The following is a 22,167-nucleotide window of genomic DNA, read 5'->3' as shown; positions in this document are numbered from 1 at the left end:
TGGATTCCTCACATCTCTGAGGTGATTTGTGACTCTTCCTGAAGGCCATGCTCCTTCCCTTTGCCACCGGGCAGGGTCTGTGGCCTGCACTGCAGCTGCCTTCCCAGAGTGTCCCAGTTTCTTTCCCCAGCCTCCTCCCTCAGGTTCTGTCTGAGACTCTTCGTGAATGGGGTTGGAGCAACCAGGAGCACTGGGGAAATGGCACTGCTCTCACCTGAACTATCACTCTGCGTGTTTCCAGAACCCGCAGCCACTGTTTGTTGGTTCTCAAGCTTGGTTGCAGGCAATGGCATGTTCAGATAGGTGAGGAGCTCGAAGATTGAAGGAAAAGCTTCCAGACCCTGAGAGACAATGTCAGGAGAGGACACCATTCTTTTCACTGGGTCTGCATGCCCAAAAAAGGGAGTACAGTCACAGATTGGGGTGAAAGCACAAGCAGGTAATACCATAAGCAGTTAGTCATACTTGGAACATGACATCTCTATTGAGAAGTTGCCTTGGACAAAGTATTGAAATAGGATATGGAATTGGCTGGAAGTTCAAGTGGCTGGGACTCATTTGAAGTTACTTAATGGTCCTTTGATCCTTGTTCTGGGGGAAGCCAGTCAAAGGGGTGAGACTTTTGGGCTTCTCCTGGCCCCACCCAATGTCCCTGGCTTCAGGCTGTGTCCCTGAGCCCAGCCCGGAGAGAAGCAGTGGTGGCTTGTCTCCAAAGATGCCCCACCTCCATCCCAGTGGTATTCATTCTGCTATACAGTTCTGTTCCTTTCTCTTGGGTCTGGGCTGGCTCTGCGACTTACCTGTAGCCAATAAGGTGTGATGGAAATGGTGCTATGTGACTCCCAAGGCCAGGTCAAAGCAGCCTTGCAGTGTCTGCCTTGGTCTTCTGACAGCCTCAGGAGCCCTGAGCTGTTGTGCAGGAGAGGCCAGGCATGGGTGCTCCAGGAGACAGGCCCCACTGAGCCCAGCCTTGCAGCTGGCTTGCCAAACCACTCAACTCACGAAGGAGGCTATCCAGGTCCTCCAGACCAGCCCATCTGCCAGCCGAGTGCCATCAGGTGACCTCAGTCAGTGCCACATGGGGCAGAAGAATCACCCTGCCCAGCAGTCCCTGAATGAATTCCTGCCACAAAAGCATGAGATATGGTAAAATCATTTTAAGCCACTAAGTTTTGGGACAGCGTGTTATGCAACAATAGAAAATAGAGCTGAGGCCCACCGTCCTGCCCTTTCTGCAAGATGCTAGCATAAGTGGGCTGTCCTCTGAGACCCTTGAACTCTGTTCTTCTCAGGCAGATCCAGTCTGGGCTCTCTGAGCCCCTCCCCTGTCTAGACTCTTATTCTAGGAGCACTGTTCTTCACTGCAGCTGACCTCAGCCCAGACGCTGTCTTCGGAGGAAGATCCCAGACGGTCCATGACTTGTTCAGACCCCATTGCAGGGCAAGACCCACAGCCCTTAGCCATTGGCTCAAAGCACGTCATTCATTCATTCAAAAGATATTGAGACCTACTGAGTGCCAGGCTCTGTTTTAGGATCTGAGGATATAACCACGAATGAGATGAGCCCTCCTGGAACTTACTTTCTAGTGGCAGAGACAGGAACAAACACGGGAATAGAATTTCAAAATGACGGGTGTGGTGGCTCATGCCTGTAATCCCAGATCTTTCAGAGGCCGAGGCGGGTGGATCACCTGAGGTCAGGAGTTCGAGACCAGCCTGGCCAATGTGTTGAAACTCTGTTTCTACTAAAAAATACAAAAAAAAAAAAAAATTAGCAGGGTGTGGTGGCAGGCACCTGTAATCCCAGCTACTTGAGAGGCTGAGGCAGGAGAATCGCTTGAACCCAAGAAGTGGAGGTTGCAGTGGGTCAAGGATGCGCCATTGCACTCCAGCGTGGGCGACACAGTGAGACTCCATCTCAAAAAAAAAAAAAAGAATTTCAGAGTGAGTTAAATGCTTTTAAGGTAATAAGGCAGAAAAGGGAGACAAAGATGGATTCTCCTGAGGAGCTGATGGAAGATGAGGAATTTCTCTTCCAAAATATGCAGAATCACACACACCCACTTAGCATATAGTCTGGGGGTATTTGTTCTCCCTGAAGTCTGAGGACCTCTCTGGGCTGTAGATTTCAGGTGAAGGATAACTGAGTGAGATATGCTTTAGGGGACACACGGGCAAAGTCCAGGAGCCCCACAGGCAGACACCACCCCCTTCCCCGCAGCTGGTTCTGGGAGGCCAGGGCAATCAGGCCCCCATTGGCCCTGGGCAGGCCCTTGCTGGCTGGCTCTGGGATGCTCTAAGTCTGGCACAGGAGAGAAGATAGGCAGATTTGAAACAGACCCCATGGTTAATTTCAGGGGCATGAAACGTGTGGGAGGTGCTGAGGAAGTGCCAGGAGGGAAGGTGCACTCTCCAGCTGTGTGGCCCATCACCGGGCTGGTTGGGGCCTGCTGTGCTTCACCCACGCGGCATCTCACTTCATACTCTCCAGGGGCCTCTGATGGAGGACGTGTATCTTTCATGCGCGTCCATGTGAAGAGACCACCAAACAGGCTTTGTGTGAGCAATAAAGCTGTTTATTTCACCTGGGTGCAGGCGGGCTGAGTCCGAAAAGAGAGTCAGCAAAGGGAGATAGGGGTGGGGCCGTTTTATAGGATTTGGGTAGGTAAAGGAAAAAGGGGGGTTGTTCTCTGGCAGGCAGGAGTGGGGGTCACAAGGTGCTCAGTAGGGGAGCTTTTGAGCCAGGATGAGCCAGGAGAAGGAATTTCACAAGATAATGTCATCAGTTAAGGCAGGAACAGGCCATTTTCACTTCTTTTGTGGTGGAATGTCATCAGTTAAGGCAGGAACCGGCCATCTGGATGTGTGCAGGTCACGGGATATGATGGCTTAGCTTGGGCTCAGAGGCCTGGCATTCCTGTCTTCTTATATTAATAAGAAAAATAAAATGAAATAGTGGTAAAGTGTTGAGATGGTGAAAATTTTGGGGGTGGTATGGAGAGATAATGGGCAATGTTTCTCAGGGCTGCTTTGAGCAGGATTAGGGATGGCGTGGGAACCTAGAGTGGGAGAGATTAAGCTGAAGGAAGATTTTGTGGTAAGGGGTGATATTGTGGGATTGTTAGAAGAAACATTTGTCATTTAGAATTATTGGTGATGGCCTGGATATGGTTTTGTATGAATTGAAAAACTAAACGGAATAAGAGAAGGAGAAAAAGAGGTATTAAAGGTTTTAGAATTGGGAGGACCTAGGACATTTAATTAGAGAGTGCCTAAGGAGATTCAGCATAGTCCTGCCAGCAAAGATTATTTATTTACTTTAAGAGTTAACAGTGGAGGTTTGGGGATAGCACCAGGAGATATCAGCTGTGATGGCTTGGAGAAACAGTGTAAACTGGCAGTGTAAACAAGAGCAGGACATGTATGAGTAGTTGAGAACAGTGAATAGGAGTATGACTAGACAGAAAATAGTAGGGATGACAAGTTTTTTGGGGCACAGTCTAAGTTGGTCTGGTGTCTGGGATGAGACTGGGGCCTAATAAAAAGGAGCGTCCGTACAGGAGCTTAAATGGGCTGTACCTTGTAGCATTCCGAGGACAGGCCTGAATTCTGAGAAGGGAAAGTGGTAAAACTATTGTCTTGTCCTTTTTAAGTTGGTGGCTGAGCTTGGTGAGGTGTGTTTTTAAAAGACCATTAGTCCGTTCTACCTTCCCTGAAGACTCAGGACCATAAGGGATATAAAGGTTTCACTGAATACCAAGAGCCTGAAAACCTGCTTGGCTGATTTGACTAATAAAGGCCGGTCTGCTATCGGACTGTATAAAGGTGGGAAGGCCATACCGAGGAATTATGTCTGACAGAGGGAAGAAATGACCGTGGTGGCCTTCTTAGACCCTGTGGGAAAGGCCTCTACCTATCCAGTGGAAGTGTCTACCTAGACCAAGAGGTATTTTAGTTTCCTGACTCGGGGCATGTTGAGTAAAGCTAATTTGCCAGTCCTGGGGCGGGGGGGCAAATCCCTGAGCTTGATGCGTAGGGAAGGGAGGGGGCCTGAATAATCCTTGAGGAGTAGTAGAATGGCAAATTTGCCAGTCCTGGGCAGGGGCAAATCCCTGGGCTTGATGTGTAGGGAAGGGACGGGGCCTGAATAATCCTTGAGTAGTAGAATAGCAGATGGAACACTGAGAAGTTATTTCCTTGAGGATAGATTTCCACGATGGAAAGGAAATGAGAGGTTCTAAGAGGCGGGCTAGTGGCTTGTACTATAGCATAGCCTGCCTTTGCTGGTGTGTGGCGATTAGGCCTGGTGGAACTGCCATCGATAAACCAGGTGTGATCAGGGTGAGGAACAGGAAAGAAGGAAATGTGGGGAAATGGGGTGAACGTCAGGTGGATCAAAGAGATGCAGTCATGAGGGTCAGGTGTGGTATCAGGAATAATGTGGGAGGCCAGATTGAAGTCCAGGCCAGGAACAATAGTAATTGTGGGAGACTCAACAAAGAGTGAGTACAGCTGAAGGAGCAGGGGAGCAGAAAGTATATGCTTCAGGTGTGAGGAAGAAAATATACTTTGGAAATTATGAGAGCTGTAGAGGGTGAGTTGAGCATAGTTTGTGATTTTAAGGGCCTCTAAGAGTATTAGCGGGGCAGCAGCCGCTGCATGGAGACATGATGGCCAGCCTAAAACAGTAAGGTCAAGTTGTTTGGACAAAAAGGCTACAGGACGCGACCCCGGTCCTTGTGTAAGAATTCTGACTGCACAGCTCTGCACTTCGGCTGTGTGTAATGAAAAGGGTTGCGATGAGTCAGGGAGAGCTAGGGTGGGGGCAGTCTCTAAAGCTGTCTTCAAGGAATGGAAAGAGGAGTGGGGAAAAGATTTAGGATCTATGGGGTCAGCTAGGTTTCCTTTTGTGAGTTTATGTAATGGTTTTGTTAGGATGGCAAAACCAGGTATCCAAAGGCGAAAGTATCCAACCATGCCCAGGAAGGAAAGGAGTTGTTGTTTTGGAAGGGATTGGGGTTTGGGAGATTAGTCGGACATGATCAGCAGGGAGAGCAAGTGTGTTTTTATGAAAATTATGCTGAGATAGCTAACAGATAAGGAAGAAATTTGGGCTTGACTGAAGTAATGGGGGCTGTCTGTGAAGCTTTGCAGCAGTACAGCCCAGGTAATTTGCTGAGCCTGATGGGTGTCAGGGTCAGTCCAAGTGAAAGCGAAGAGAGGCTGGGATGAAGGGTGCAAAGGAATAGTAAAGAAAGCATGTTTGAGATCCAGAACAGAATAATGGATTGTGGAGGGAGGTATTGAGGATAGGAGAGTATATGGGTTTGGCACCACGGGGTGGATAGGCAAAACAATTTGGTTGATAAGTCATAGATCCTGAACTAGTAAGGCTTGTCTGGTTTTAGGACAGGTAAAATGGGGGAATTGTAAGGAGAGTTTATAGGCTTTAAAAGGCCATGCTGTAGCAGGCGAGTGATAACAGGCTTTAATCCTTTCAAAGCATGCTGTGGGATGGGATATTGGTATTGAGCGGGGTAAGGGTGATTAGGTTTTAAGGAGATGGTAAGGGGTGCATGATCAGTCGCCAAGGAGGGAGTAGAGGTATCTTATACTTGTGGGTTAAGGTGGGGGGATACAAGAGGAGGACGCAAAGGAGGCTTTGGATTGGGAAGAAGGGCGGCAATGAGATGCAGCTGTAATCCAGGAATAGTCAGGGAAGCAGATAATTTAGTTAAAGTGTCTCGGCCTAATAAGGGAACTGGGCAGGTGGGGATAACTAAAAGGAGTGCTTAAAAGAGTATTGTCTAAGTTGGCACCAGAGTTGGGGAGTTTTAAGAGGTTTAGAAGCCTGGCCGTCAATACCTACAACAGTTATGGAGGCAAGGGAAACAGGCCCTTGAAAAGAAGGTAACGTGGAGTGGGTAGCCTCCATATTGATTAAGAAGGGGACGGACTTACCCTCCACTGTGAGAGTTACCTGAAGCTCGGCATCCGTGATGGTCTACGGGGCTTCCGAGGCGATCGGGCAGCATCAGTCTTCAGCCGCTAAGCTGAGAAGATCTGGGAAGGAGTCAGTCAGAGAGCCTTGGGCCAGAGTCCCAGGGACTCTGGGAGTGGCTGCCAGGTGAGTTGAAGAGTCCGATTTCCATCCGATTTCCAGTGGGGTCCTGCACAGATGGGACACAGCTTAGGAGGAATCCTGGGCTGCGGGCATTCCTTGGCCTGGTGGCCAGATTTCTGGCACTTGTAGCAAGCTCCTGGGGGAGGCGGTTCTGGAGGAATGCCTGGCCACTGCGGTTTAGGTGTTTGGAAGTTCTTGTGTGCTGGAGATGTGGCTGGGGTTTGTCTCACAGTGGAGGCAAGGAATTGCAACTCAGAAATATGTTTCTGTTTGGCTGCCTCTATTATTGTACACTTGAAGGCGAGGTTAATTAAGTCCTGTTGTAGGGTTTGAGGGCCAGAATTTAATTTTTGGAGTTTTATTTAATGTTGAGAGCAGATTGGGTAATAAAATGTATATTGAGAATAAGACGGCCTTTTGACCTTTTAGGGTCTAGGGCTGTAAAGCGTCTCAGGGTTGCTGCCAAACGAGCCATGAACGGGGCTGGATTTTTATATTTGATGAAAAAGAGCCTAAACGCCGTCTGATTTGGGATAAAGAAAAAGGAGCATTAACCTTGACTATGCCTTTAGCTCCAGCCACCTTTTTAAGAGGAAATTGCTGGGCGGGTGGGGGAGGGCTAGTCATGGAATGAAACCGTAAGCCGGACCCGGTGTGAGGAGGGGAGGTGATAAAAGGATTATAGGGTGGAGAAGCGGAGGCTGAGGAAGAATTGGGACTTAGCCTGGGGAGGAGGGGAGAGGTCAGATAGGTCTGTAGAAAAGGAAGATTAGAAAGACTCAGCGACGTTTGGGGTTGGGACTGAGGGGACAGGCGGAAGGGAAAGAAGGAAGATTTGGGACAAGTTGCATTGGGAACAGAGACTAGGGACGGCCTGATGTGTAAAAGAAAGCCTGGACGTCATGCACCTCAGACCATTTGCCCATTTTACGACAAGAATTATTTAGAACTTGTAGGATGGAAAAATTGAAAGTGCCGTTTTCTGGCTATTTGGAACTACTGTCCAGTTTGTCTCGGGGTCAAGCGGCATTTCAGAAGAAAATAAGACGCTTAGATTTTAGGTCAGGCGAGAGTTGAAGAGGTTTTAAGTTCTTAAGAACACAGGCTAAGGGAGAAGAAGGAGGAATGGAAGGTGGAAGGTTGCCTATAGTGAAGGAGGCAAGTTTAAAGAGAAGGGTAGAGACATGGAGGGAAGGGGTTCAGGGGTTCTTACCCTCCAGAAAAGCAGGACAGGGGTCGGGGCATGGAAATAAGGGGTTGGGGCACAGATAAGAGGTCGGGGTGCGGAAATAAGGGATCGGGGCACAGAGATAAGAGGTCAGGGCTCCTGCCCCTCCCCCAGAAAAGCAGGACTTGCCACTAAGGGTGAAGTCTGGATGTGTGCAGGTCACAGGGGATATGATGGCTTAGCTTAGGCTCAGAGGTCTGACAGTATCAGTATCATTTTGTTGAGGAGACAGACACAGGAGGTCAGCACCTTCCTGAAGGTCCTTGGCTGGCTAGAGGGGCCACCTGCCCACGCATCCCCTGCCTCTTAACTCTCACAGCATTCTGCCTCCCCAACAGGAGGCTGGGGTTTGGAAAGGCTGAGTAGACAGGACCAAGTCAGAGGTGGAGAAGACCAATCATGTTCCAGGAATGAGAGGGAAGGTAGGTGGCACCAGCCAGGGGTATGATTGAGTGTAGGGACGGGAAATAACATTTGCCAGTGTGGTTAATGGAAAAACCAAACTCTGTAAAATGTTTTAAAGAGGTTTATTCTGAGTCAATATGAGTGACTAGGCCTTGGGAGCAGCCTCAAGGGGTCCTGAGAAAGCGATCCCAAGGCAGTTGGGTTACAGTTTGGTTTTATATACATTATAGGGAGACAGATGTTACAGGCAAAGATAAAAACCAGTACATGGGAGGTATTCATTGGTTTGACCAGAAAGGTAGGACAACTCGGAGCAGGGACTTACAGGTCATAGGTAGATTCAAAGATTTTCTGATTGGCAACCCGTTGAAAGAGTTAAGCTTTGTCCCAAGACTTGAAGTCAGTAGAAAGAAATGCTTGCATTAAGATAAGGGGAATTGTGGGGGTCCAGATTCTTGTTATGTAGATGAAGCCTCATAGGTAGCAGGCTTCAGAGAGAATAGATGGTGAAAGTCTATTCTCTTTCACCTACTGGGTACATTCCCAGGAGGCCAGGCATTCTTAGTCACAGGATGAGTCAGGAGGGCAGCACAAGATACAGGTCACAAGGACTTTATTGATTAGACAGGATGCTGTAAAGAAGCTGACCAAAACCCACCAAAACCAAGGTGGCAATGAAAGTGACCTTTGGTTGTCCTCACTGCTCGTTATACTCTAATTATAATACATTAGCATGCTAAAACACACTCTCACCAGCACTGTGACAGTTTACAAATGCAATGGCAACGTCAGGAAGTTACCCTATATGGTCTAAAAGGGGAGGAACCTTCAGTGCTGGGGGAATTGCCCATCTCTTTCCTGAAAGACTCATGAATAATCCACCTTTTGTTTAGCATATAATCAAGAAGTAACTATAAGTATACTCAGTTGAGCAGCCCATACCACTGCTCTGTCTATGGAGTAGCCATTCTTTTATTCCTTTCCTTTTTTTTTTTTTTTGAGATGGAGTCTTGCTCTGTCTCCCAGGCTGGAGTGCAGTGGCACAATCTTGACTCAATGCAACCTCCGCCTCCCAGGCTCAAGTGATTCTCCTGCCTCAGCCTCCTGAGTAGCTGGGATTACAGGCATGCGCCACCACACCTGGCTAATTTTGTATTTTTAGTAGAGACGGGGTTTCTCCAGGTTGGTCGGACTGGACTCGAACTCCTGACCTCAGGTGATCCGCCCACCTCAGCCTCCCAAAGTGCTGGGATTAGAGGCGTGAGCCACTGTGCCTAGCCTACTTTCTTTTCTTTCTTTTCTTTTCTTTCTTTCTTTTTTTTTTTTTTTTTTTTTTGAGACTGGGTCTCTCTGTGTTGTCCAGGCTGGAGCAGTGGTGCAGTCTCGGCTCACTGCAGCTTCAACCTCCCCAGCTCAAGCGATCCTCCCACCTCAGCCTCCTGAGTAGCTGGGACATGCACCACCATGCCTGGCTAATTTTTGTATTTTTTTTGTAGGGATAGGGTCTCACTCAGGCTGGTCTCCAACTCCTGAGCTCAAGCAATCCTCCCACGTTGGCCTCCCAAAGTACTGGGGTTACAGGTGTGAGCCACTACGCCCGGCCTTCCTTTACTTTCTTAAACTTGCTTTCACTTTATGCACTTGCCCCGAATTATTTTTTGCGTGATGTCCAAGAACACCCTCTTGGAGTCTGGATGAGGACCCCTGTCTGGTAACATTACAATCTCTGTTTTAATGTGAATGCTGGTCAGTTACACCTGAATTCCAAAAGGTAGGGGGTATAACAAGGTGTGTCAGACCTCTTTTCCAGCCATGGCTGGGAATTCAGTTTCTCAGGTTTCTCGGGGGTCCCCTCAGTCAGTTGGAGGGCTTAGGATGTTATTTTTGATTTACAGCACCCACCATGCACAGTGCAGGTGCCCCCTATCTGTATGTCACCTACTCATGACCCTTAAGGGGCCAGCACACAGATGAGGCCTGCGAGCCCCTGACAGGGCAGGACACTTCCCCAGGGTCATGCATTCTGCATTTCTAAGCCAAGATTCTAAAGCGGCTTCCAAAACCAGCCCTCCCTCTCACCTCCCCATGTGCCAAGTTGTTCCTGGGCATTGCCCCCCACTCCCACCCCTACCCTGGGGTCACTGGGTTGTGGACAAACCAGAGGAGACAAGCTCCCCACAGACAGCCCTCACTTGGGGGCCCCAGGGTACTGGTGCTTGGCCCAGGCGTTGGCTGCCTGCAGGGCAGCTCCGGATCCTCGGACCCAACAGCAAACCACTGGGGAGGCCAAGCCATTCTGCGGCTTGCACAAGGCTCCCTCTATTCTGGAAACATCTCAGAGATGGCAGACATTCCGTGCTCCCCAGTGAGCCGAGCGAATCTTTGCTCCTGCTGTCAGCTGATTTTCAGTGGCCGGACTCGCAGTGGTTTACCGTTAGTAAAACAAACAATGGCATATAAACCTAGGCCAGTTCTATCCAGGATCAACTGGGGGGGAGTCTGAAGGAACTCCCCTGCCACCCAACTTCCTTGGCAGCAGAGGGTAAAGTCTCATTTAAGCAGTTGCCTGAGGCAAAAGGAATATTTGAGTCATTGATTTCCTGCTCTCTGTGAAAGGCCCGCAGGATTAGCAAAGGCAAAGTGTCTGCACATGTGTCTTCGTGCCCTGATTGAGCCTCGGGGAGCCGCGGAGGCCCTTGGGATTTCAGGAGTCAGTGCAGGCACCACTCACCTGGGCCAGTTGATTTGCATGGCAAATAGAAGTTAAGTGGAGCTGTTAATGAAAAGGGCTCCTCTAAGTGGGAGATGGAACCAGGGTTCTGTCCCAGGCATTCTCACTATCCTGGAAAGTGATTACAATCAGCCGTTCATTTATTTCCTCATTCCTTCTTTCATCAGATACAGATTGGATGCCCACTGGGTGCTGGTCTTTGTTACAGACGTCTCTGCTTTGTCTAGGAGGGCTGTTCTGCCACCTGGCCAAAGCAGCCACTCCTGTTGCTGGAGGCTGCAGGCCCATTGCACTGAGTTGTCCTCGAGGCAAAATCTCTCTGGTTCTGGCAGAAACAACTCTGGTGACTTTCTTTGTGATTGTAGACTTAAAGCAAACACACGCTCCCTGTTCTCAGGGAGGCCCTGTGTCTTCTTAGACACACAGAGATTTTTAAAAAATAACAGCTTTGGCCAGGCATGGTGGCTCACTCCTGTAATCTCAGCATTTGGGGAGGCCACGGCAGGCAGATTGCTTGAGCTCAGGAGTTCAAGGCGTCTGGGTAACCTGGTGAAACTCCGTTTCTACTAAAAATAAAAATAAAAAAATTAGTTGGGCGTGGTTGTGCACGCCTGTGGTCCCAGCTATTTGGGAGGCTGAGGTGGGAGGATCAGTCAAGTCCAGGAGGTCAAGGCTGCAGTGAGCTCTGTTTGTGCCACTGCACTCCATCCTGGGTGACAGAACAAGATCTTGTCTCAAAAAAAAGTAAAATAAATAAATAACAGCTTCATAGAAATATAATTCACATGCCCTAAGATGTACCCATTTGAAGTGTACAATTCAGTACACTTTAAATTCAGTAGTTTTTAGTGTATTCACAGAATTCTGCAACCGTTATCACTATCTAATTGTAGAACATTTTCTTCACCTCAAAAAGAACCCCCATACCCATTGTCATCCCACCCTCCTCCCCTCCACTGACCTAGGCAGCCACAAATCCACTTTCTGTCTCTATGGATTGGCCTGTTCTGGAGATTTCATATGCACGGGATTGTGCAATGTGTGGGCTTTTGTGTTAGGCTGAGGTTTTTAAGTGGTTCATGTACCTCTATTAAAAGCTGCCTTCCCTACCTGGGGGTGGGGAGAGGCGTGGGTGGGAGTCCTCCACGCAGGGCATGGAAAAATTGGGGGTGGGACTCAGGGACCCTGGAAGCTGGAGATAGGTGAGGGAGCTCCAGAAGAGGAGACGGGGGGGCATGGTCAACACTCTTCCAGAAACCTGGTGGCCAGGTTTAAGTTTTATTTTTCAGCTACTGCCCTATGTTATCCTCAGGCCTTTAGTACAGTCTGTTATGCACAACAGTCTCCTGTTGCCTGTGGCCTGTGCTTTGGGGAATAAAGGGTCCGGGTTCCATTTTGTGGTGAAGTTGGACAGGGGAGAGTAAAGTGGTCAGCACTGTGAGGTGGCCCCACTTTAAGCTTTCAGCTCTTGGCAGCTGTCCTCTTCTCCCCAAAGATCTTGAAGATACAGCCAAGTCAAAATTGTTGTATCGTGTTCACGTGTGTAGCAACTACTTCTGAAATATCCACTCTAGGGAAGCGTTCTCTCCTGGCAGAAGATTACAGATATGGCTGGTAGAGGAAGCCACTCTGACAGGACAGATTCAGGTGCACACAGGACATGAGGAAGGGAACCAGGGGACAGAGTGGAGAGTGGCCCTGACAGCTGCCGGCCTCAGCCTCAGTACCCAGCCACAGCCTTGGTCTCACAGTGGAGACCGTTAATAACCTCGCCCCAGGGCAGGAGCAGACCCAATGGACAGAGGTCTCAGAAAGCAGTCTGCTTGTGCTGGGCTTGGTCCCCACCTGTGCAGTCGGCTGCGCGCACACACGCCCACCCCAGCCGAGGCCCGTCTGCAAGCACAAGCTCAGCCCCGCTGCCTGCAGTGCAGGGTCTGGTGCATGGCTCTGGGCCCTGTGCACAAATGCCCATTGCTTATCAGCATGCACTTCTTCCTCTTCCTGAATGGATTCATTTCCTAGGGCTGCCGTAACAAAGAACTATAAACTTGGTAGCTTCAACAACAGAAATTGACTGGGCGCAGTGACTCACACCTGTAATCCCAGCACTTTAGGAGGCCAAGGTGGGAGGATCGCTTGAGCCCAGGAGTTCAAGACTAGCCTGGGCAACAGACATAGTAAGATCCTGTCTCTATTTAAGGGGAAAAAATACATGTGTGTGTATGTGTGTGTATATATGTATATATGTGTGTGTGTGAGATATTAAATATATTTTACACATATATATGTCTCTCTATATAACAACAGAAATTTATTATTACTACAGTTCTGGAGGCTGACAGTCTAAATTCAAGGCCTCAGCAGGGCTAATTCCTTCTGAGGTCTGTGAGGGAGGGGTCTTTCCAGGCTTGTCTCCTTGCCTTGTAGATGTCTGTTTCCTCCCTGTGTCTTCATGTTGTCTTCCTTCTCTGTGTGCCTGTATCTGTGTCCTATTTTCCCCTTCATAGAACTAGGTTTCCACCTTAAGGACCTCATTTTAACTTGATTACCTCCATAAAGACCTTATCTCCAAATAAGGTCACATTCGGAGGTACTGGGAGTTAGGACTCCAGCATATATTTTTAGGGGACTCATAGCACTCAGTAGCAGAAGTCTGATTTTATTTAAGAGGCTATGTATCCAGCTAACAGATTGCCTTTCCCAGCATCCCTTGCAGCCCATGCTGTTTATATGAACAAGTTCTGACTGATGAGATATAAGCAGAAGTTGATGGGGGAGATGTTGGGGACAGTTGCGTAGAAGAGTCTCAGATAGGTAGAAGAGGCCCTTTTCTCTATCTTCTTCCTGCTTCTCACCTGGATTTGAAGATGTGATAGCTAGAGTTCTAGCATCCATCTTGGGCCTTGAGGCAAGTTTGAAGTTGGAAGCTGTGGTCTAAGGATAGTGGAGCAGAAGCTGAAGGAGCCTGAATCTCTGTGAAGACAAAGGCACTGCCAGATCAGCCAGACGACCCACCTCCAACCCTTTCTCCTTTTCTTCTTTTTTAATTTTTTTTTTTTTTTTTGAGATGGGGTCTTGCTCTGTCACCCAAGCTGGAGTGCAGTGGCACAGTCACAGCTCACGGCAGCCTCAAACTCCCAGGCTCAAGCAATCCTCCCAACCCAGCCTCTGAGTAGCTGTTACCACAGGTGAGCCCCACCACACCCGGCTAATATTTTTTTCGTTTTAATTTTAGTAGAGTTGAGATCTCACCATGTTGCCCAGGCTGGCCTCGAACTCCTGAGCTCAAGCGATCCTTTCACCTCGGCCTCCCAAAGTGCTGGATTATAGGCTTGAGTCTCCACACCCAGCCCTAATTTTCTTAATGATAAAAATGGGAGTTATAATACCATGGCTACTTAGATCATGCTAGACATGATTTCACGCGTAGCATTTAGCACCAGCCTCAGCACCTGTCGGAAATGACAGCCATTATTAGTTTGATTACTAATTTATAGTAGTTATAGCCCCTAAGAAACGATGGGTTACAGTAATTATAGCTCCCAGGAAATATAGGATTATAACCCCCAGGAAATGATGGCCATGAATAGTTTGATGACTACACTTCCTAGTAAATTGCTATTCTGCTCCTGGTGTGACACTACACTGACTTCTGAAAGCCAGACTTTTGCTTTTACCAAAGACCAAGTCTCTGACTTATATGCATTGTGTTCATTAAGCTCCCATTGTATTCTCTGCCTTCTTTTGGTCTTGAGAACCTCATCAGCACATGTAGTCCCTAGGTTGTGTGGGTTCCAATTCCCTTCCAGGCGCCTTCTGGGAGGGTTCAGCCTTCTGTACTCAGCCAGGGCACCAGATAAGTCAGGTTGCGGGAGTATGTGGGGCTCTACATTCTGCCCAGTGGTTTTGATCAGTGGAAGAGGGTCTTCCCAAGAAGAGAGTAGGAAATCAATTGATTGGAAAGATAGACCCATTTTTCCTCCCTTCCCTGTGCCCATGCCATTTGCAATGTGATGAAGCCATTCCCCCACTGCTTGGACTTGGGCTAGCCTCCTGACTTGCTTTGGCCAATAAACACAGTAGAAGTGGTACTGCCCGTTTTGGAGTCTAGACCTTAAGAAGTGTTGTATATTCCACATGTTCTATTGGACTTCTGCTTTGATGAGGACTCCATCTTTGATCCAACTTTAGACAGACTCCTCTGAGCCCTCCTCCTCGGAGCCCCAAGGCCTTGTCCTTGGCCTGCTCAACCTAGTTTAGCAAGAATTCTGCCAGGCCAGTTTAGCAAAAATCACCCCCAGTCTTGATGCCTAACAAGTTCCTCTTGATAAATTGACTCCTTCACCCTGCCTGTTGGCTAGAAATCCCTAGTTACCTCTGTGGTATCCAGAGTTGAGTTTAATCTCTCTCTCCTATTGCAGTAGTCTTGAATAAAGTTTCCCTTGCCTGTTTAACTCTGTCTGGTGCAGTTTTTCTTTGGCAGCTTCCACCATGAGAACAAGCCCAGACTAGCCTGCTGAAGCTTGAGAGACCATGTGGAGCAGAGCTAAGTCCTCCCAGCCAAGGCCATCTGTATTAGTCTGTTTTCATGCTGCTGATAAAGACATACCCAAGACTGGGAAATTTACAAAAGAGGTTTAATTGGACTTACAGTTCCACATGGCTGGAGAAGCCTCACAATCATGGTAGAAGGCAAAGAGGAGCAAGTCCCATCTTACATAGATGGCAGCAGGCAAAGACAGAATGAGGAAGATGTAAAAGCAGAAACCTCTGATAATACCATCAGATCTCATGAGACTTATTCACTACCACAAGAACAGTATGGGTGAAACCGCCCCCATGATTCAATTATCTCCCACTGGGTCCCTCCCCCAACATGTGGGAATTATGCCAGTACAATTCAAGATGAGATTTGGGTGGGGACACAGCCAAACTGTATTACCATCCTAGACCAGCCAGCCTTCAGCTGACTGCAGACACACAAGTGAGCCTGGGTGAGACCAGCTGAGCTGCCCAGCAAAATCTAGACTCATGAGAAAAAAGAAATGGCTATTAGTTTAAACCAGTAAGATTTGAGGTGGTTCGATTTGCAGCATTATCATGGCACTAGATGACAGGTAGAGAGGAGAAGAAAAGGTAAGAGGAGCAGAGCAGGACTTTTTGAAGATCTCCTTGCCCTGAGCTCCATGAGTCCTGCAGAGTGCATGTCGTGTGGCTCCTGTAGCATGAGTGAGGGACAGCCCTGTCTCTTTGGCTACCACTCCTGGCAAGGGGAGGCAGGGGAATGGGATTGCAGCTGGCTCTGCGGGTCCCTCCCTCAGTAACCAGGCAGCAAGGAGAGGCAGGGAGGATAGGCGGGCAGGGACTGGCTAGCGCCGGGGTTGACTTGGCGGTATGTGCCAGCTGGAAAATAATTAAGTCCTAGATTCCAAATAACTTCAAGTGCATATGGGTGGGACTGAGCTATGAATAGCAGGCCTGAAGAACTATGAAATACCAGCACCACAACACTGGTGGCAGCAGTCTCTGCTTGAATGTCCTCCTCCCCAGGCTGGGGCCCCACTCTGCCTTGGGCCTATTGTTCTCCCACACAGCCTCTCTAGGTCCCTCAGTCCTTTCTTCCTTTTTCTAAAAAAAAAAAAAACAAAATTCTGGTAAAATACACATAACATAAAATGTGCCCTTTTCTGGCTGGGCGCGGTGGCTCAAGCCTGTAATCCCAGCACTTTGGGAGGCCAAGGCGGGTGGATCACGAGGTCAGAAGATCGAGACCATCCTGGCTAACACGGTGAAACCCCATCTGTACTAAAAGTACAAAAAAATTAGCCGGACGTTTTGGTGGGTGCCTGTAGTCCCAGCTACTCGGGAGGCTGAGGCAGGAGAATGGCGTGAACCCGGGAGGCGGAGCTTGCAGTGAGCCGAGATTGCGCCACTGCACTCCAGGCTGGGCGACAGAGTGAGACTCCATCTCAGAAAAAAAAAAGGTGCCCTTTTCCCCATTTTTAAGTGCACAGTTCAGTGGTATGAAATATGTTCACAGTGTTGTGCAGCCATCACCACCATCCATTTCTGGAATCTTTTCATCATCCGTAACAGAAACCCCAGCCCACTGAACACTAACTCCCCGTTCCTTCCTTCGCTGTCCCTGGTCACCACCATTCTACCACCTGTGTGTATGAATTTGCCTATTCCAGAAACCTCACATCAGTGGAGTCACACGACATCTGTTCTTGGGTCTCTCAGCCCTTTATTCTTACCTAGCATTGTTTTTAGACATCTGAAAAGCAGCCCACCAGGGATGGGAGAGCTACACCTTCTAGAACACCCCATCCCACTTCCTTTGACCCCCTATAAGAGTTGGGCTACATGACCTTGGCTTTGGGGTACAGGTGTCCTTCCACGTCAAGTCCCCAAACAAAGCACAGCACAGCACAGCACAGCACAGCACAGCACAGCACAGCACAGCACAGCACAGCACAGCACTCTTTCTGACCCAGCTCCTGAAGAGGCTGTGAGGACCTGTCCCGCTCCATTTACCTGCTCTGCCTCTGTAGTTCAGCTTGTTCTCGCGAAGCCCCTTCAGCCTCCGGTCAGGTGATGGGGAAGCTGGTGGGGTGAATGATCACCTCGGGTTTGTCTCACCAACCCCCGGAGGGCACGGTTCATGGTCCTTGAGTAGCCTCTAGGTGCCCGCCCAGTTTCAGGTCCAAGGCTGCACCTAGAATTATTGCTTCAATAGCTGAGGCTCTGGCTTGAGGTAAGCTGGAATCAGAGCAGTCCTCTGGGGCCAGAAAAATCTGGAGGCGCCCAAGGTCTGTTGGCAGCCTGGCCGTGTGAGTGCATGAGTTCAGGGAGACAGTGAGGAGAAGGCAGAACATTGCGAAGTTCCCACCCTCTGCTGCCCCTCCCTGCACCCTGCACACACACACACGCACAAGCACTCACACAAGCACACACACATGCACACACAAAAACACACAAGCACGCACACAAGCACACACACACACAAGCACACCTACACAAACACACTCACACACAAAATACAAGCAGACACACAAGCACACACATACACAAGCACGCTCACACACATGCACTCAGACACAAGCGCACACACAAGCACACATATACACTCACAAACACACACAAGCACACACTCGCAAGCACACACTCCCGCATTCACACGCCTGCCGCAGGGACTTGTGTTTCTAAGGCCTGAGGCGATGGGACTGCTCCAGGCCTAAGTTAAAGATGTTTTCCAGGGAGTGTGTGGGGGAGGCTGAGCACTGGAATCAGATGTGAGACTGAGAGGGAGATGGGGCTTTCCCCCTCACATGGAGAACACAGGGCTGCCCTGGCCCTTGCGTGCACTGGACACAGCACCTGGGGCCTGGTGGACTAGGGCAGCAGTGGCAGTGGGGAGGCTGCCTCCAGGGGGCTCAGAGACTATGGGAGTTCCAGTGGGGAATAGGGGAAGGGGCAGGGAGAGGATGGACCCACTGATCAGGCTCCTGTCCAGCACGTATGTGATGGCTGGGGATGGAGACTTTTAGGCTGGCGGGAAACTCAGGCAATATTTGACCACCTTTCCCCACTGTGGGGCACCAGGCAGTACATCTCACCTTGTCCTAAGGCATGGAATTTACTTTCATTCTGTGGCAAAGCTGATTCTTTCTTCTCAAGAATTATCTACCTCTTTATAATCCATGGTCTTTCCCAATCCCTCGATCAGGGAGTCCACAGCTGCCACCGCTGAGGGCTCAGCAGCCTGGGCACGTGGTTCTGGGCTGGAGGTGAATGGCCCATTGAGCCTCAGCTCTCCCATTTTTACAATGGAAATGTAGGGCTGGGAGCCGTGGCTTATGTCAATAATTCCAGCACTTCAGGAGGCTGAAGCAGGAGGGTTGCTTGAGACGAGGAGTTTGTGACCAGAATAGATAACAGAGTGAGACCCTGTCTCTACAAAAAAATTTAAAAACTAGCCAGGCGTGGTGGCGTGCACCTGTGTAGTCCCAGCTACTCGGGAGGCTGAGGCAGGAAGATCACTTGAGCTGAGGAGGTTGAGGCTGCAGTGAGCCGTGATTGTGCCACTGCACTCTGGCCTGGGTAACAGAGTGAGACCTCGTCGCAAAAAAAATAAAATAAAAATGGAAAGGTAATTTAATCCTCTCAAACGTTTGTTGAAACAATTAAATGGAAAAAAATTATAGTAATGTATGTATGTGTTGTGCTTAGCATACCGGCACACAGTAAACAGACAGTAAACCTTACTGTTATCCTTATGACCATCAGCAAGCAGAGCTTTCCACAGTGACTGGCTTTAGGTGGCAGGAGACTTGCGGTGACTGAGTAAATGGAATGTGACCGTGAGGCGAATGACTTTAAAATCCATTAGCGCTTCCATATCTAAGTGAGTGTGGAATATGCAGTCACCCCAGAAGTCCTCATTCATTCATTCATTCATTCATTCAGGAAGTCACAGAACAGGGCGATTGCATTCTCTAGACCTTCATAAGCACCAGTCTCAGTTCTCTGTAACTAGGGAAGTTACAGTTTCCCATGCTGGTTCACTTTCCGTGTCTCCACAACAATTATCCAAACACTTTTTACTCTTCAAACTCCCTTTCTCTTTTTGCCCTTCTCTCACCTCCATGTAGACGGGCCTCCCCTCTTGCTTCAAAAGAGACTGAAAGCTGTCAGGTGAGCTCATTCACCGTCCCAGTGTCATCCATACACACCTGCCCACATTTACGCTTCTCCTTCCTTCTTTTTGCAGTCGAGGAGTACTTCCTCTTCAACTTAACATTTATCCCTCTGATTCTGCTCATTCTGATTCCAACTCCTCCTGCCTTCTCAGAAACCCAGGGATCTCTCTCTGTTGGCTATTTCACCTTTTCCCTCTCTACTGGTTTGAAACACCCTCAAGTCTTTCCCATTTAAAATCAACAACAAAACAAAAACGTGGCTTCTTTCTTCATCCAGTTGGTCTAAGCTGGCTCTCCTCCCGTCATTAGCACACCCATTGACAAGATAAAACCAGGCTGATTGCGGCTCACCGGTGTCATGGAGAACAAAGCTTGGGCAGTGTTTCAGAGCTAGGAAGACAAAGGCAGAATCTATCCCAGATTGGAAGTTTGGTCTGAGGTGGGTCTTTCCATGTGGGGATGTAGGACTGGGTAACCATCAGGATTCGAGAGTCTAGGATTGGTGGAAACTGCAGAGGGTCCAACGCTTCAAGAGCAAACTGTCTGTGGACACTGTGCATTGAGGAATTGGGAAGTTTCTATAGTAAATAATCAAACCGTGTGTTGGGAGACAGTACCAAAAGAGGAAAGAAATGCTAACGAAGACAGTGGTATAGCAAAGTCAGGTTCGTGTAGGCAGTCAGGTGTGGTTTCGCTTCTCTGTGTCCTGGCTGAGTGCGAGGATAAAAGGTTTTGGTTCTTAGCTTCTGATTTCTTTCCTAGCTCCTTCCTCTTGTTCACAACTAAACCTCAAAAAAGCCTCTGCTTGCTGACCCTATTTTCTGATCTCCTACTCATCCCCAAACTCACCAATCTGACTCCAGACACCTTCCATTTTTATTTTTATTCCATTTTATTCCATTAAAAATAAGTATATTTACTTATTTTTAAGAGATGGGGTCTGGCTCTGTTGCCCAGGCTGGAGTGCAGTGGCATGATCATAGCTCACTGCAGCCTTGAACTCCTGAGCTCAAGTGATCCTCCTGCCTCAGCCTCCTGAATAGCTGGGACTACAGGTGGAAGAGACCGACAAGGAATAGGTGGCTTCCATGCAAGGGGTCTCTCTACAGGGACCTGTTGCCTCCACAGCAGTGGCAGCCTTCCTGACTTGCTTGGCACCTCCAGACAGTTCAGTTCTGACACTATCTACCTGGAAATAGCATCAGATCCCACACGTGCAGGCTCAGTCCCACAAGACTGCCCCTTACTTCAGATACCAACTACTTCCAATCAACTTGCTATAAATCAGTGTTCCCACAATCCCCTCATTGTGTTCAATTAATTTGCTAGAGCAGCTCACAGAACTTAGGGAAACACTTTAATTATGTTTGCCCATTGATTATAGGGGATACGGCAAAGGATCCAGATGAACAGCCAGATGGAAGAAATACATAGGGCAAAGTATGGGAGAAGGGGCCTCAGAGTTTCCATTCCCACTCTGAGTGCAAAACCTTCCAGGAAACTCCACATGTTTAGCTATCAGGAAGCTCTCTGAACCCAATCCTTTTGGGTTTTTAATGGAAACGTCATTATGTAGGCATGATTGATCAAACCATGGCCATTTGGTGATCAACTCAGTCTTCACCCACTCTCCTCTCCCCAGAGGTCGGAGATGGGGCTGGAAGTTCCAACACTCTAATCATGCCTTGATCTTTCCAAGCCCCCATCCTGAAGCTATCTAGAGACCCACCAAGAGTCACCTCATTAACATAAACTCAGATGTGGTTGAAAGGGGCTTGTTGTGAACACCAACAGGCCTGTCTATAACTCAGGAAATTCCAAGAGTTTTAGAAGCTCTATGTCATGCTCAGGGATAAAGACCAAAGCTATAATTCTTATTGTATCACAGCCCTCAATGCCAGACCCAGACGAGGATCCCTCACAGGCTTTCCACCGTGGGCTAATGCCAACAACTAGTGCCTGCTGACTGCACTGTGTCAGGAACCAAGTGTATACTTGCATTTACCATCTGTATTAGTCCATTTTCATACTACTATGAAAAAATACCCAAGACTAGGTAATTTGTAAAGAAAAAGAGGTTTAATGAATTCACAGTTCCACATGGCTGGGGAGGCCTTACAATCATGGTGGAAGGCAAAGGAGGAACAAGGCATGTCTCACATGGCGGCAGATGAGACAGAGTGTTTGTAGGGGAACTTCCCCTTATAAAACCATCAGATCTTGTGAGACTTATTCACTATCATGAGAACAGCATGGGAAAAACCTACCCCCATGATTTAGTTATCTGCCACTGGGTCTCTCCTGTGATATGTGGGGATTATAGGAGCTACAATTCAAGATGAGATTTGGGTGGGGACACAGACAAACCATATTATTCCACCCCGGCCCCTCCCAAATCTCATGTCCTCACATTTCAAAACCAATCATGCCTTCCCAACAGTTTTCCAAAGTCTTAAGGCATTTCAGCATTAACTCAAAAGTCCACAGTCCAAAGTTTCATCTGAGATAAGGCAAATCCCTTCTGCCTATTGTAACTGTCCAGTGCGTTCATCTTGCCCACTGCCTAGACAGAACCAATTTGTCAAGACTGGGGAATTGCAGTAAAGAAAGAGTAATTTACACAGAGCCGGCTGTGTAGGAGACCAGAGTTTTATTATTACTCACATAATCTCTTTTGACTCCATGTCTCTCATCCAAGGCATGCTGATGCAGGAGGTGGGTTCCCACAGTCTTGAGCAGCTCCGCCCCTGTGGCTTTGCAGGGTATAGTTCCCCTCCTGGCTGCTTTCACAGGTTGGCATTGTCTGCAGTTTTTCCAGGTGCACAGTACAGGCTGTTGGCAGATCTACCATTCTGGGGTCTGGAAGATGGTGGCCCTCTTCTCATGGTTCCACTAGGCGGTGCCCCAGTGGGGACTCTGTGTGGGGGCTCCAACCCCACATTTCCCATCCACACTGCCCTAGAAGAGTTCTTCATG

The 22,167-nt window shown here is 48.6% G+C and overlaps 1 protein-coding gene across 2 annotated transcripts in view, besides 5 other annotated features; it reads left to right on the top strand.

Moving 5' to 3' along the window:
- The window catches only part of SLC35D4 (solute carrier family 35 member D4), a 199,440-nt gene that overhangs the window by 145,396 nt on the left and 31,877 nt on the right, over nt 1-22,167 (top strand). The window lies entirely within an intron of this gene.
- Nucleotides 1,831-2,443: an enhancer, noted in NCBI's record as "H3K27ac-H3K4me1 hESC enhancer chr18:20870087-20870699 (GRCh37/hg19 assembly coordinates)". NCBI's record gives its function as "activates a minimal SCP1, AML or CMV promoter by ChIP-STARR-seq in naive H9 embryonic stem cells {active_cell/tissue: H9 hESC(naive)}" and the evidence as "EXISTENCE:reporter gene assay evidence [ECO:0000049][PMID:30033119]".
- Nucleotides 2,444-3,056: an enhancer, noted in NCBI's record as "OCT4-NANOG-H3K27ac-H3K4me1 hESC enhancer chr18:20869474-20870086 (GRCh37/hg19 assembly coordinates)". NCBI's record gives its function as "activates a minimal SCP1, AML or CMV promoter by ChIP-STARR-seq in naive H9 embryonic stem cells {active_cell/tissue: H9 hESC(naive)}" and the evidence as "EXISTENCE:reporter gene assay evidence [ECO:0000049][PMID:30033119]".
- Nucleotides 7,090-7,779: an enhancer, noted in NCBI's record as "NANOG-H3K27ac-H3K4me1 hESC enhancer chr18:20864751-20865440 (GRCh37/hg19 assembly coordinates)". NCBI's record gives its function as "activates a minimal SCP1, AML or CMV promoter by ChIP-STARR-seq in primed H9 embryonic stem cells {active_cell/tissue: H9 hESC(primed)}" and the evidence as "EXISTENCE:reporter gene assay evidence [ECO:0000049][PMID:30033119]".
- Nucleotides 7,780-8,471: an enhancer, noted in NCBI's record as "OCT4-NANOG-H3K27ac-H3K4me1 hESC enhancer chr18:20864059-20864750 (GRCh37/hg19 assembly coordinates)". NCBI's record gives its function as "activates a minimal SCP1, AML or CMV promoter by ChIP-STARR-seq in naive H9 embryonic stem cells {active_cell/tissue: H9 hESC(naive)}" and the evidence as "EXISTENCE:reporter gene assay evidence [ECO:0000049][PMID:30033119]".
- Nucleotides 9,162-9,852: an enhancer, noted in NCBI's record as "H3K27ac-H3K4me1 hESC enhancer chr18:20862678-20863368 (GRCh37/hg19 assembly coordinates)". NCBI's record gives its function as "activates a minimal SCP1, AML or CMV promoter by ChIP-STARR-seq in naive H9 embryonic stem cells {active_cell/tissue: H9 hESC(naive)}" and the evidence as "EXISTENCE:reporter gene assay evidence [ECO:0000049][PMID:30033119]".

Source organism: Homo sapiens, chromosome 18 (assembly GCF_000001405.40).
Source record: "Homo sapiens chromosome 18, GRCh38.p14 Primary Assembly".
Lineage (NCBI taxonomy): Eukaryota > Metazoa > Chordata > Mammalia > Primates > Hominidae > Homo > Homo sapiens.
The sequence above is the reverse complement of the archived record's forward strand: the minus strand, read 5'-3'. Positions and strand labels throughout refer to the sequence as shown.